Here is a 16,151-nt window from a genome sequence, read left to right as displayed (position 1 = left end):
TGGGTGACAGAGAGGACTCCATCTCAAATAATAATAATAATAATTCAATCCCCCATTATAATGTAGGTATAGTTAACCTTCACTGAGATAGACTGAATGTTTTTGTCTCCCCCAAAATTCATATGTTAAAGCCCTAACTACCAATATGGTGCTATTTGGAGATGGATCCTTTGGGAGGTAATTAGGGTTAGATGAGGTCATGAGGGTGGAGCACTCATGGGATTAGTGCCCTTATAAAAAGAAACACTAGAGAACTTGCACTCTCTCTTCATGCCTGCACAAAGAAGGGATCATGTAAGCACACAGGAGAATGCAGCTATCTGCAACACAAGAGGAGAGCCCTTATCAAAAACTGACCATGCTGCACCCTGATCTCAAACTTCCAGCCTTTAGAACTGTGGGAAAATAACAGTTCTAAAACTGTTGTTTAAGCCACCCAGTCTGTGGTACAGTAACTCCCCCCTTATCCAAGGTTTTGCTTTCCATGGTTTCAGTTACCCACAGTCAACCATGGTCTGAAAATATTAAGATATTTTGAGAAAGAGAGAGACCACATTCACATAACTTTTATTAGTCAGTGTATTATTATAATTGTTCTATTTTATCAGTTGTTATTGTTGTTAATCTCTATTACTAATTTATAAATTAAGCTTTATCATAGCTATGTACATATAGAAAAAAACATAGTCTATATAGGATTTGTACTATCCATGGTATTAGGAATTTACTAGGGCACTTGGAACATATCCCCCATTATCCAGAGGGGACCACTGTATTTTGTCTGGCAGCCCAAGCAGACTAATACATTCACCTATATTCAATCTTCCTCAAACAAACAAAAACTAAAGCCATAGTGATCCATAACTAAAATATTTCACTTATTTCCCTTCTTTCAAGTTGTTCAGTTTTCTTACAATATAGTTATAGCTAGAGTTAAATATGAATGAGCCTGTAAGTAGCCCCTTGCCTCCCAATGCCCACCCCACTCACAAATCCATTCCCGCTTTCTTCATAAGAAAAAGAACCCTAAATGTGAGATAGGCATATAGCCACCCAGAACAAAGACTACATTCCCCAGCTTCCTTTGCAGCTAGGTGTTATCACATGACTTGAGTACTAGCCAATGGATACAAGCATAAGTGGGATATACAACTCTCAGCTTGTGCTCTTAGAGATGGGTGTGTCCTTTTTAAAATTCCTTCCTCATAGCCATTTGCTGTACACACTGAGTAGAGTTGGAACAGCCATCTTAGACCATAAGAGAAGCACAAATTGAGGAGAGTAAAGCAACACAGATTGAGCTGTTACCAGCCTTCACTGGTTATGTTTAAGTGAGAAATAAACTTCTATCTTACTTAAGCCATTGTTATATATAAACCACTATTACTTTCAGCTAAACCTATAACTGACTAGAATGATAAATGACATTATTACCAGTGATTTTTTTAATTAAAAAAAAGAAAAGGCCAGGAACAGTAGCTCATGACTGTAATCCCAGCACTTTGAAAGGCTTAGGCAGGAGTTCAAGTCCAGGAGTTTGAGACCAGCCTCAGCAACACAAGGACACCCCATCTCTACAAAAAATTTTAAAATAGCTGGGCATAGTGGCAAGCACTTGTAGTCCCAGCTACTCAGAAGGCTGAGATGGGAGGATCCCTTGAGCCCAGGCGGTCAAGGCTACAGTGAACTATGATCAGGCTACAGTGAACTATGATCATGCTACTGCACTCCAGCCTGGGTAAAAGAGTGAGGCATTCTCTAAAAAAAAAAAAAAAAAAAAAAAAAAAAAAAAAAAAGTGATAGTACTTCTGAAAGTTCTCTTACCAGGGAAGTTCAGTCAGGCCTCCTTGTATAGCAATAGCAGACTTAACCCTGTTAGCAAACTGGACTGCATCTTCTCCTTCCTGGTTTAAAAAAAAAAAAAATTGCAAGAATATCTTAGTTATCGAGTTTTTAATACCATCTCATAATCATTTGTATTTGTTTTAAAATATAAGATTCATATTTCAGCTCAAATGCTTTCTATTCTTAATCAATCATAGCAAATATCATTTGTTCTATAAAGAAAATGCAGTGTTGTATTGTTTAATTTTTTACCATGTGCATATATTTATTACGCTCTTTATTAGTCTTACCCAAGATAATATCTGTAGGTTCAATAAACCAACAGCAATTATAAAACCATCGTGGAAAATAATCTCTCAATATAAAATGGTCTGATTTAAAGTGAGCTAAATACATCATTAAAAAAATGACCCATTTGCTGAGAAAGCAGAAAAGCATGACATGGAGAAGGGAGACACCCAGATTTTCAGGTGAAGATCTCCTTGCCTCTACCTGATTAGATAAAGTGTTAGCTAAGGAATACCTCTCTGGTCATGGGGGGCATGTACCACACGTCACAGACGATGGCCCAGCTGGTCATCATTCGAAGCAGGTAGCTCACCATGTTGTATTTACTACTGTTCCAAAATGCATCACCGAACTGAGGGTTATACTGAGAAAAAAGAAAATACATCTCAGTTATGAAATAAGGGTGGTTTCTCATCCGTGCCCAATGTTTTAAAGGTGGTAGGCCAAACAGCTTTATCAGACTCTAAGAAAAAAAAAGTTATTTCACTTGATGGAATTTATCAAAAAAAAAGTAAACTGGGCCAGCTAATACATCTGACTAGAGATGACTGCTTTTCTAAATAGAACCAAAGAGCACACCAACAAGAGTTATTTACATGACTATTAAATATCTGTCTCCACACTTAACTAGAAGGCTGATGAAAGCAGGAACAGAATCTGTTTCACTTAACACTATGAGCAAATACAACACCTGGCACAGAGTCACCCAGTATACATCTATCTACATATAGAGAGCGAGCACATGAGAAAGCAGGGGAGGCAAAGTGCAGAGGACTGGTGCATCCGAAAACTGGTGTTCCTCGTTCTTGCAAATTTTAAGTTTGAAATGCTACCAAAATAAAATTACCAATCCAATATCTTTATAATAATTATTATTCTTATTATGGTATCTGTTTTACCTTAATTGCAACTGGATGTATGGTTCCTCCAATTTCAAAGCTCCCCTTTTTAAACATCATGACTGAAGTATTGTTGATGCAAGTTCCTGCAAGGGGGTGAGGGTAGGAGCGTGAATATTTTTAAAGGCAGTCATTTTAAAAATAAATTTTAAAAGAAATTATTTTGATATAAAATAATTTAAAATATCAAAATTACAGGCATCGTACTACCATATCACAAACGAACCCCTGCCAAGGTAGTAATCCTATAGTTCTGACTAAGCAGGTTTAACAACAAGCTTTTACTTTTCTACTGAACACTCTATGGGCCTATGGGAACAACTTCTCAACAGGTGAAATTTCAATACATGCAACCCTTAAAGTCACGGACAATTCTGCTCTCAGTTCACTACCCAGAAATGACTTTTGAATTAAAAAGGTAACATGACTTCTATCAAGTCTCAAAAGAAAGCAAGGAATTAATAACTCAGAGAGTGCCATCCCATTCCTCTAAGGGCAGAGATCTGGGCTAAGGTTGCCAATTCTATGGCAATTCTATTCCTCACACACTTTTGATGGTTTGTTGTTATCAACTATAGCTCGGGAGGCAGGCCCATTCTTACCTTCAGGAAAAATTAGTATGGGTAGTTTCTTCTTATCAGCAATATGTTCTTTTAGTCTATGGAAAAAAAAAGGATCAAAATTCTGCCTTTATAAAGAGAGAGGTGGATGTCCTTTTTGATATTCCTTGCACTTTACTGGCACAATTGTGAAGCAATAAGGAGAAAATAATTGAGATACAGGTAAAAGAAATAAATTTGAGTTGTTTCCTTTCCAAAAAAGTTTAAGAAGATCTGCACCATTATAATTTCTCTAATTTCAAAGTAAGTCTTTTTTCTTTTTTTTGGTGGGTGGGGGATGGGGTCTCACTCTTTCATCCAGGCTGGAGTGCAGTGGCATGATCTCGGCTCACTGCAGCCTCCACACCCTGAGCTCAAGCAAACCTCCCTCCTCAGCCTCCCAAGTAGCTGGAACCACAGATATGCACCACTACACCCTGCTAAGTTTTTGTATTTTTTGTACTGATGGCATTTCACCATGTTGCCCAGGTTGGTCTCGAACTCCTGAGCTCAAGCGATCCACCCGCCTCAACCTCCCCAAGTGCTGGGATTACAGGCATGAGCCAATGTGCCTGGACCAAAGTAAGTGATTTTCAGTGTCTTCGCCTATTCTTAAAAGAGAATATTAGACAGTCATTTGACTCTAGAGTCATGGACTCTAGAGCCTCTGTGTCATGAGCTTTGTGCTCTTCTCCATGTACTTAGGTTTCCTCATCTGAAAAATGGGAATATTGGGTTGCTGGACCTACCTGCATTATGGCCATTAAGTACAAGACAATCCTTAAATGATTCAGGTTGAACTTTCCATTTGCACACCATGAAGCTGAGAAAGACTGACATTCTTCCAGGCTTATGTCCTGTCCTCCCTGCAACCAACCCTATATTTCCAACTCTTCTCTCCAGAGCTGGTAAGGGCTGAGGTAGCCAGACTGCAGCTGCCAGAGTGTCCCACTGCCAAATGATCTCAAGATAGGGAATCGTTTTTCTAACTTGAAGCAGATTCATCAAGTACTTTTCATTATATTAAGAGTAATGGACCACCTTTGTGTTTATAGAAGCGATAACCAATGTGCCTTCCAGTTAAAGGCCTCGGGCCAAAAGCTGTTTCCTAACGAAGGTTTCTGGTAGCTCATCTCTACCCTAAACCCCAGAGGTTCCTTCTCCCATTCCTCTGTCTCTAGCTGGATCTTCTTTTTTTTTTTTAAGACAAGGTCTCCCCCTGTTGCCTAGGCTGGAGGGCAGTAGTGTAATCTCAGCTCACTGCAGCCTCAACCTCATGGTCTCAAGCGATCCTTCCTCCCAAGTAGCTGGGACCACAGGCATATGCCACCACATTTGGCTAATTTTATTTATTTTTTGTAGAGATGAGGTCTCACTATACTGCCCAGGCTGGTCTTGAACTCCTGGGTTCAAGCCATTCTCCTACCTTGGCCTCCCAAAGTGCTAGGATTACAGACGTCAGCCACCATGCCCAGCTTCTAGCTGGATTTAAGTGATAACAATCATTCAGCAAACACTTAATCAATCATATATTTAGCAAGTAGTTATCAAATATTTAACCTTCAAGGTGGTTTTTTTTTCTTTTTTATATATTTTTTATTGAGGTAAAGTATACATATCTAATTTATTTTTTTAATTGCTTATACTCAAGTGAGATCATATCTAATTTAAAGGTGGTAATTTTTATCTTTGAAAATTCAGTGACTGGACTATATCTAAGTCACAGCAATATAAATACATTGGCCTTCCAATCCCATCATATATCCTACCATGACTACAGAATTACATTTTTTAAAAATCTGGCTAAGACAGGTGATTTGCCAGAAAAATCCAACAGCAAACAGGGCTCTGTTTCAGTTTTGAGACTCAGTGCTGCTCGGCCCTCTTTGGTAGCAAGGCCAAGATTGGTCAGCTTTTATGCTACTCCAGTGAATGCTGAGTAATTTCACTGCTTACCTCTTAGTAACCAGGTGTCGATCCTTCATTTCTGAGCGTTCAAACCAGACATGAGGACAAGCCTTGACCATAGCTCTCTGAATAATTCCCATCAAGCCGCCATGAACCTGGCCAACCTAGAAGTAGCATAAGAAAAGGAAAAAACGTAAAAGGCACCGTTGTGCAAAGAAAGTTTTTTAAGTACCAACAAATTTCTATTCTCCACTCAAAAATATGATTGGCCTTCTACTGACTGAAGTTCTTAGTCTGATCAAATAGTCTGAAAGGCCAAATGTAAGCAAAAAGGTATTCTTTAGTAGCACCTTTGAATTTTAAGTTACGTTGCTGTGCTAGCAATCCTCTAACTTCAAAAAGTAGAGGTTTTTCAACTTGGTCAACATTAGAGAAATGTAAATTAAAACTACACTGAAATACCTTTTCAAACCCATCACACTGACAAAGATTTAAAAGCTTGACAATACACTCTGACATAAGTCTATGGATAACTTTCAAACATTGCTTGGTGGAAGGGAGCAGATTACAACACAAATGGAAAGAAATTTGGCAACATCTACAAAATTGCATACACACTCATCTTTCATTTCAATAATTCCTCTCCTAGAAATTAACCCTGAAGATATACTTCCAACAAATTGAAAATATATATGCACAAGGCTATTAACTACAGCATTACTTGTTATGGCAAAATATTAGAAACTACCTAAATGTCCAAATATAAGAAATTAGATAAATAGATAATGGTACATACAAATAATGGAGTATTATGCAGCTGGGAACAGAGCAAGGTTGATCTCTATGACTGATAAAGAGTAATTTCCAGGAGATATTGTTAAATGAAAAAGACAAAAGAACAAATACAGTATGCTACCTTTTGTATAAGACTAAAGGGGAAATAATATGCATACATGTGTTTATCTCTACAAAAAGAAATACAGAAAGGATAACCAAAGTCAATGAACCTACAAGAGTAGGAAGGAATGGGATGGAATGAACATGGAAGGTAGTGGCACTTCAATGAGTATACCTTTTCGGCTTAGTTTTGACATTTGGAAGCATATTGATACCCTACATATTCAAAAAAAATTAAATCAGTAAGGAGCGAATGACAGACTAAAGCAAACTGAAGCCAGTGAACCCAATTGGATTTTAAATGAGTAAAAGAACAGCATTGAAGGAAGGGGGAAACATCCAAGAAACTTGCAAAGACAGTATCTGACTACATACCCTCCATCTTGGATGGCATTGTAAGAACTGCAAAACATCCTGAACTCTTTTTACTACCTTTTTTTTTGTAGTAGTGAAGCAATTCTGAAATAATTTTAGATGTATCATAGAATTGAGAAAATGAGTAAACATATTGATATTGTTGGGAAACAGGATTTTCATTATGAAAATGGGAGATACAAATATTAATTGAAGGAAAGCAAGAAAGAACCTTAAGAGTTGGATGTATTCAGATTTCCAATGTAAATATTAGAAATAAATAGTAAATATAGGCCAGATGTGGTGGTTCACACCTGTATTCCCAGCACTTTGGGAGGCTGAGGTGGGAGGATTACTTGAGGTCAGGAGTTCAAGCCCAGCCTGGCCAACATGGTGAAACCCCATCTCTACTACAAACTACAAAAATTAGCTGGGTGTGGTGATGGTCACCTGTAATCCCAGCTACTTGGGAGGCTGAGGCAGGAGAATCACTTGAACCTGGGAGGCAGAGGTTGCAGTGAGCCGAGATCATACCACTGCACTCCAGCCTGGACAACACAGGAGGACTATGTTTAAAAAAAAAAAAAAAAAGTCCTGGCTCGGTGGCTCACACCTGTAATCCCAGGACTTTGGGAGGCCAAGGTGGGTGGATCACCTGAGGTCAGGAGTTTGAGACCAGCCTGGCCAACATGGCAAAACCCCGTCTCTACTAAAAATACAAAAATTAACTGGGCATGGTGGTGGGCACCTGTAATCCCAGCTACTAGGGAGGCTAAGGCAGGAGAATCACTTGAACCTGGGAGGCGGAGGTTGCAGTGAGCCGAGATCACACCACTGCACTCCAGCCTGGGCAACAGAGTGAGGTGCTGTCTCAAAAAAAAAGAAATGTTAAATATAAATATATTAAAAATACAAACATTTTACCCACATTTTTATAGGGAGAGACAGAACAAGAGAGCTTTTCCCAGTACCTGAGAAAGCAAATGACAAAGCAAATGAGGCACAATCTTACCAACAGGTAAATGTGGATAAAGGGCATAAGGGTGCTCTAATGTGATTTTCTTATTATTATAACTTTTCTGTAAGCTTGAAAACATTTCTAAATTTAAAAAAGTAGAGGTCTTTGTCTAGAGGGAAAAACAAGACTAGAAAAGTCACTGAGTGAGGTAATGGATATGTTAATTAGCTTGATTTAGCCATTCTACAATGTATACATCTATCAAAACATCTGTTGTATACTACAAATATATATAATTTTTATTTGTCAATTAAACAGTAGATTTCTTTTAATAAAAGGAGAGTCACTGAGAAGAGATCTTTGATGTTCTTTCAATACAGAGTTTATGTTTAGTCAAAAGAGGCCAATTATGATGTCTGGAGGCTAATGGCATGGTATCATCCCACATCTGCCTTACGCCACCTCCAATTTAAATTCAGTCAACTTTAGTTTTCTACACTCAACCCACTGGACAGTTTACAGTTACTATGCTTTTCTAAATTTTGGCTAATATATTGTAATTGCGGTTATACATGATCTAAAAGTAAAGAAAATGCCAACAAAGTTCTGAGGTCCTTGGTTACAAATGGGTTATACTCAACTCTTTGTTGACCAGAATACAGGAGGAATATGATTTCTGAAACACAAAACCATGACCAAGGAGTGTTATGGTTTGCAACAGTTTTGGGAGGTGGGGCATAACGAGAGATACTGAGGCCATGAGGGTGCTCTCCTCATGGATGGATTAAAGCCCTTATAAAATGGCTCTGGGAGTAGGTTTGCTTTCTTGGGCTTTTGGCCCTTCTGCCTTATACCATGTGATGACTCAGCAAGAAGACCATGGACAGATGCTGGCACCTTGATATTGGACTTCCCAGCCTCCAGAACTGTTAGTCAATAAATTTCTGTTCATTATAAGTTACAGTCTGTGGTATTCTGTTGTAGCAGCACAAAATCAACTTAGGCAGATTGGTTGCCTAAGCCTCTGCTTCCTCATCTATAATAAAATCTCAGACCTAACCTGATTGGATTACAGGGAAGGTCAAATATAATGCATGAAAGTGTCCACATAAATACAAGGATTATTACATACACTCAGAACTGTGCTGCGGGGTCTAGGGTGTTAACATGAGGGTCCTTGGATGGTCTTTAGGGAGACCCATAAACATCTTGAAATTATACATAAAATTGTTGTTTGTATGATGCAGATATGGTTAGTTTTTTTCTTTAAAAAGGTACATAACTATCAACTAATTCCTAACCTAAGAAAAGATTAAGAACTACCAATTCTCATAAGTCTTTTCATAAAGGTGGCTAACGCTTTCTTAGATTCAGAAAGAGCTCCATTATTTAGAGAAATTTAATAACGTGTTAAAATGTAGTATCCAAGAGTTATATATCTGGCCATGTATTTTAGACAGATTAAACACATGGCAATAAGCAGAAATTTTTGCAAAGGCCTTCAAAATCCCCTTAATGATTGTGTAACCCATGCAGAGTCAAATACTTGCACATGTGCCAATACTCTCCACCTTCCTACTTGCAGCGACATTTAATCAAAAATGGCTCCCTTCAAATGCCTTCCCAGAAAAACACACCAAACCATGGCTGTCAATCCCTGGAACTGGTAAGTGAAATAAAACCCATCTACTCTCCCTGAAGCCCAACCCACCACCATGAAAATTTGAAAAGGCGATCCCCTAGGACCCTTGTCCAGGCATTCTATGCCAAACACCAACTGAAGGCATATTTAACTACCATGCAGCTTCAATTATCCTGCAGAATTTACCTGACACAGAAAGGAGATGCAAGAAATCTTGACAAATTTGCAAGGGCAACAGAAAACACAGATTTGAAAAAAAAAAAAAAAAAAAAGAATATGATTCCTATATTCATCCCCAAGAAAGGCTGTTTTGAGATGTACAGTTTTACTGTAGGCTTTGTAGTTTGTTCTTGGGTTTGTTTCATTTTCTTTTCTTTTGGGGCTATGGGCAAGGACTGAGAAAGACAACCTGATATAAATATTTGCCTTTCTTGCTAGATCCTCATTAAAGAGCCAGATTTCTTTTAATTGCATATAAGTCCCTGAAGGAAGAAAGAAGTAATTGGCTGGCTAGGGGATATGTGCAACTGTAAAAAGAAAGAATTTAATGTTGCAAATATTATTAAACACTGGCAGGGATTTTACAAGGAAAATGGAATCAACTTTACAAGGTCCTATTAAGCTCAAGAATGTCTGCATTTCAGTAAGTTAATTTTTTACCATCTTAAATATCATGGCTATTTTCCTTCCTTTTCTTGCACTACATATTCCTCATGTAAATACATTACATAACTTATATAGCTACAATAGTATAACGCAGTCAAATTTCTAACATAAAACCAACTTGCTAATTTATGCCAAAATAAAAAGTTTGATCAATCCATAAAACATGCAACTACTTGAAATATCAATGAGCTGCTCTTACCATAGCATAACATCCATCCGTTGTCAAGATTAAAACATCAATGGGGGAAGTATGGTTGGCAACACAAATGCCTCCCTTCTGGGGTCTGTACTGCCTGCAATTACAAACAATGGAAAATTCGAAGTCTTCTAAAATAGCCACAGCATGTAAATACTCATCTTACTTTTTTAAGTGTGTGTGTGTGTATATATGTAATTTTTTTTTTCGCGTCTCACTCTGTTGCCCAGGCTGGAGTGCATTGGTGCAATCTTGGCTCATGGCAACCTCCACCTCCAGGGGTTCAAGCAATTCTCCTGCCTCAGCCTCCCAAGTAGCTGGAATTACAGGTATGTGCCATCAGGCCCAGCTAATTTTTATATTTTTAGCAGAGATGAGGTTTCTCCATGTTGGCCAGGCTGGTCTCAAACTCCTGACCTCAAGTGATCTGCCCCACTCGGCTTCCCAAAGTGCTGGGATCACAGGCATAAGCCACCGTGCCTGGTCTTTTTTAAGTATATTTTTAAAAATTAAGTTTGGAGGTACACGGGCCCATCTTTAAAAGGTGATCTCTAGGTAGTGTGATGAGAGTGTGGTAGGGGGCCCATGATTTTTCCATTGATAATACACAGCTTTCACTTATTTAATCTGAAGTATTTTCACATTATTCTGATCTTCATATACATCACTTTTAGTGGTTTCATGGTAATCCACGGAGAAAATTCACCATAATTTCCTCCCTCCTATCCTCCTAGAGCAGAGGTTGGCAAACTTTTCTTATCAAGGGCCAGACAGCAAATACTTTAAGCTTTGCAAGCCAGACAATGCTTGTCACAATTACTTGACTCTGCTGTTGTGACACAAAAGCAGCCACGGCTGTGAATGAGCACGGCTGTGTTCCAATAAAATGTTATTTACAGAAAACAGCTGGTGGGCCAGATTTGGCCTATAGGCTCCCAGTTCAGTTTGTTGATCTCTACCCTAGAGTGAAACCAGTATTTGACACCAATAAAGCAAAGTAGTTTTCTTTGGGCCTATACAGAGAAGAAAGAACCAAATACACAATTATTTAGCATATTTTCTTCAAAATGAGAAGCAATTCTATAAGAAGTTAGGAACTCCTCTTTATGTAATAAGTGTGCCTTTTCTACAGGTGTTTCTTCTGACTGCACACCTGCCAGAGTGTTTTCTTTCACTCTTCACTTTAAAACTCATAGTCCAATTGCAACATCATATAATTTAAAATGTTTAAAGGGTCTTTTATGTTGGTACCACATGGTAAAGCCAAATGGCAAAATGTTTCCCTTCTACAAATGAGAAAGAAAGACCAAATCAGTAAAAAAGAGAAGCTTGGCCTAGAACTTTTAAAATGATGTTAAATCTAAAAAAAATTAAGATAATAGAAAAGTAGTTCAAATGCAATCAAAATCACTTTCACTTAGCTAATTCCTTTCCTTTGCTGCCTTCATTCTCTACAATTCTGGGAGAGAAAAGCAGAATTTTGTTTTAAGGCTCAATTATGGAATTTTAGAAGTAGCAGGACTAAGAATAGAGACCACATTTCCAGACTCCACGTCTAGTCCTATTTCCACCACAGTACAGACCTGTCAACTTCATTGTTTTTAAAATCAGAGAGACATGGCTCAAAACCTGATTCCATTGTTTATTCACTGTGACCCTAAACAACAAATCCCAAAGCTTACATTTCTTCCCCTATAAAATGGGTTAACAGTGCCTATCTCATAGGGATGAGCTACAAGAAACACAGGGTCTGGCCTGCACACCATAAATGCCCAATTATTGAGCACAACTACGTGTTTATTATTATATTCTTTCTGCAAACACTGCTATTTAGTGTTTTTGTGCATCATGCCTGTGCCACACTGAGAAGTAGAGATGAACACATTGGAAGCACTCTGACTCCACCCACTTCTTCCCAACCACTTCCAATGCTTCCTTGTCAATCTCATGCTGAATTGACCTAGAAAAAGACAGGCACATTGGAGCAGATACTCACTTGTTATGATAATGAATGGTACCAGAGAGGGCTCGCACACAGATCCGGCAGCAAGTCAGATGGACCAGTTCACTCAGCCAGTTTTTGAGGCTGAAGGAAATAGAAACATTTTATTGTGCCATTCTGGGCACTCTTAAGAAACAATATAATAAAGGTTTTAATGTGCTTTTTCACAACAGCATACCACATTCTATTCTGGTGAACAGGTACAGTTCAATTCTTATAGTCTTATAGTCAATTGTTATAGTCTCATTGGCACATTTAGTATTAGATCACAAAAGTCTACCAAAAAAACTGGACATAACTCTAATGAAAAGTGGCTCAAAACCACTAGGCTATTATGACAAATTCCTGAACGAGATAAAGTGAAGCTTCTTTGGTCTTGGTCTTATGAGCTTGCCAATATATAAGACTCTCTTAGGTAACTCAGTTCATTTTCTTTCTTCAATTCTCCTTTGAAAAAACAACTTCTTTCAATTAATATGGAAGTATGATTTAAAAAAATCAAAGACTATGAAGATGAAGTGAGCAGGATTCTAATAAATGAGTAGAGAACATAAATTTAATGCAATGCAGCCTGGTGTGGTAGCTCACACCTGTAATCCCAGCACTTTGGGAGGCCAAGGAAAGCAAATCACAAGGTCAGGAGTTCGAGACCCCCCTGGCCTACATGGTGAAACCCCGTCTCTACTAAAAATACAAAGAATTAGCTGGGCATGGTGGTGGGTGACTGTAATCCCAGCTACTCAGGAGGCTGAGGCAGGAGAATCTCTTGAACCCAGGAGGCGGAGGTTGCAGTGAGCCAAGATCACACCATTGCACTCCAGCCCAGGTGACAGTACGAGACTCCGTCTCAAAAATAATAATAATAATAATGCAATACATAGGAATCAAACAAATATTCTCTTTGTGGACACAGCTAAGAAAAAAGACAGTCCTATATATGGCTGGATGGAAGGAAACATTTCACCTGCTGTCTGGCAGCTGCCCAACCAGTGTAGTTCCTATAACCAGCAAACTGATCCCAATGAAAGCCAAGGTAACCCTGAAAAAGAAAAGAGAGGGCCATATAAGATTTTGACACATAGCATGGAAGTAACCAAAAAGTTCCTAAATAATAAAATTGTAAATAAGTTGTAGAGTATCCACATGATGAAATATGATGCAGCCACTAAAATAACTGGGTAAATCTATATAGATCTAACACGGAAGAATGTTCCACGACACACTTTAAGAGGCAAAAAGCAAAGTAAGTTTCAGAATAAAGTACAGAATATGATGCCATCTGCAAAACAACAACAAACACATGTGTAACAAGTCTGTATATGCATAGAGAAGGCCTGGAAATTTTCACAAAACTATCAAGTTAAATCTATATAATCACCAAAGGGTTAAGAGGGCTAGTGAAGGGAATAGATTTAAAGGTGCTTTCATAATAAGAACACCAAAATATACCACCATGTAGACATCTTTTAATGCAAATCTAACTGTTGTCCTTTTGCATGGTTCAAGATAACTCAGAAGTTAGCAAACAAGGTGACTGACAGTACCTCTAACCTCCATATAGACATTGCCTTCTTTTTGAAAAGTGCTTTTAATATACATTCCAATGACTTCAAAAGGAAAGTAGTAATTTCTAGAAATGTAAATAGAATTATTCAAAAAGGAAAGTTAAGACAAAATCTTTCAAAATAAATAGGATTTAGTTAATAGAGAAGAAAAATCAATAGTTTAATCACATTTTACTAATAAGATTCTTTAAATCATCTTACTTTGTCAAATGGAGAAAGCAGAAACTTTAGATTATCTCATTACTCTCTCAAATCAAACCAGAGGCCTATTTATGTCTTCCTGTTCCCAGAAGAGCACACACGTGTTGCTGAATGCGTGAGGTATTCAATAAGCAGACTGAAGGGGACCACCCCTGCAGTATCAGAAGGACCCTGTGTGTCTGGGGAAGCTACAGTGGTTGCCTAAGGTTAAGGGTCAGGAACAGTAACCCTCTCCAGGGTGAAGCTCATTTACTGCTGACACGTAGCTATCTTTACTTTCTGATCAGATATTTGGAGCATAAAATCGTTTGTCTTAACCAATCCCAGGTTTCACATTAGATGATGATGAAGCAACACCTAACACTATACACCACGCAATATTCTAAGTACCTTTTATATTTAACACATTTAATCATCCCCAAGACTCTATGAGGCAATAATATTATCATTATCCCCATTCTACACATGAAAAAATTGGAGCATAGAAAGGCTAACTAACTCACCCAAAGTTACACAGAAAATAAGCAACCGAGCCAGGATTTGAACCCAGGGCTCCAGAATTCATTTTCATAAGCATTATGTTATTCTGTCTTTCAGGAGATTATGATTTAACATAGCAGTTTAGCATTATTTAAAACAAGAGAAATAAGCAGTGTCTCACGGCTACAATCCCAGCAGTTTGGGAGGCCCAGGCGAGTGGATCACTTGAGGTGGGGAGTTCGAGACCAGCCTGGCCAACATGGTGAAACCCTGTCTCTATTAAAAATACAAAAATTAGGAAGGCATGGTGACACATCCCTGTAACGAGAACCGCTTGAACCCAGGAGGCAGGGGTTGGTTGCAGTGAGCCAAGATTGTGCCACTACACTTCAGCCTGGGCAACAAAGTGAGACTGTCTCAAAAAAAAAAAAAGAAACAGCGTAAAAGGCAGCAATCTTAACCCATTTGGAGAAACACTCCATCAATAACACATCTGAACATGCAGCCCAATGTGTTTAAGAATAATGTGCATATTCTGTACTGATATAATGTACATTATAAAACATCTGGAAACGTAAAAAAAAGTATAAATATTTTTATTTAAAAATACAGTATTTTGAAATTATATTAATGTTGCAATTTGTCCTCACTCAAAATAGGATAATAAAGTAATACATTAATATATATTATTAATTTTATAATTATAACTATCAATTTTATAATTATAACTTAATAACATGATATATTACTATAACTAATAAATATAATTAATACTATTACAATTTTGAGCAAGAAGAAAGCTTTTTGAACATGCTTTCCTATAAATACCTTGATAAATAAGGTGTTAAATTTTGTTAAAGACTTGACATAGCAATTTGAAGGTCAGGTTCTTTTTTCTTGTCAGTTACTGATGCAATAACTAAATTATTGTTTAATCTCATCATCAATTATGCAAAACTTTTAAAATAATGTTTTGCCATCTTGCCCCAATGAGAATCACTTGTTCCCATCCATTAAATCAGAAGGAGTTTCATTTTAACATGTTTAACAATTGGGTTCAAAACTACTGAAACTTTTTATTTGCTAGATTAACAGGCCAGAACATTATGTATCCCAGTTTAAGTGAGGCAATGTTAGAGTTCTCATAGATGACATAAGTTTTCAGCCACAGTCTGTTTTTTAAGAGCTTTATTGACATACAATTCACATGCCATACAATTCAACCCATTAAAATGTGTAATTCAGTTCAGGCACTGGCTCACGCCTGTAATCCCAGCACTTTGGGAAGCCAAGGCAGGCGGATCACTTCAGGTCAGGAGTTTGAGACCAGCCTGGCCAACATGGTGAAACCCCATCTCTATTAAAAATACAAAAATTAGCCAGGCATGGAGGCACATGCCTGTAATTCCAGCTACTCGAGAGGCTGAGGCATAAGAATCGCTTGAACTCAGCGGGCAGAGGTTGCAGTGACCCAAGATTGTGTCTAAGTGATGGAGTGAGACTCTATCTCATCATAAAAATAAATAAATAAAATAAAGTATGCAATTCAGTAGTTTCTGTCATATTCACAGAGTTGTGCAACCATCACCACATTGTATCTTAATACAATCTGGTTTTTGAAAAGCTCATTTTGTAGTAGGTGCTTCTTTTA

At 37.8% G+C, this 16,151-nt stretch overlaps 1 protein-coding gene across 6 annotated transcripts in view; it reads right to left on the bottom strand.

The window, feature by feature from the left end:
* GPAT3 (glycerol-3-phosphate acyltransferase 3) overlaps positions 1-16,151 on the bottom strand; it is a 70,289-nt gene that overhangs the window by 5,328 nt on the left and 48,810 nt on the right. For all 6 annotated transcript variants that reach the window (XM_017008780.2, NM_001256422.1, NM_001256421.1 and 3 more), the window contains 8 exons: positions 13,219-13,293; positions 12,249-12,338; positions 10,256-10,349; positions 5,588-5,703; positions 3,635-3,690; positions 3,033-3,118; positions 2,369-2,497; positions 1,825-1,904 (listed from right to left, as the gene is read on the bottom strand). In XM_017008780.2, coding sequence (XP_016864269.1) covers positions 1,825-1,904; positions 2,369-2,497; positions 3,033-3,118; positions 3,635-3,690; positions 5,588-5,703; positions 10,256-10,349; positions 12,249-12,338; positions 13,219-13,293 — 726 coding nt within the window. The remainder of the gene's footprint in view (positions 1-1,824; positions 1,905-2,368; positions 2,498-3,032; positions 3,119-3,634; positions 3,691-5,587; positions 5,704-10,255; positions 10,350-12,248; positions 12,339-13,218; positions 13,294-16,151) is intronic.

The sequence above is a fragment of the Homo sapiens genome, chromosome 4 (assembly GCF_000001405.40).
Source record: "Homo sapiens chromosome 4, GRCh38.p14 Primary Assembly".
Taxonomy (NCBI): domain Eukaryota; kingdom Metazoa; phylum Chordata; class Mammalia; order Primates; family Hominidae; genus Homo; species Homo sapiens.
This window is presented reverse-complemented; position numbering and strand designations above follow the sequence as displayed.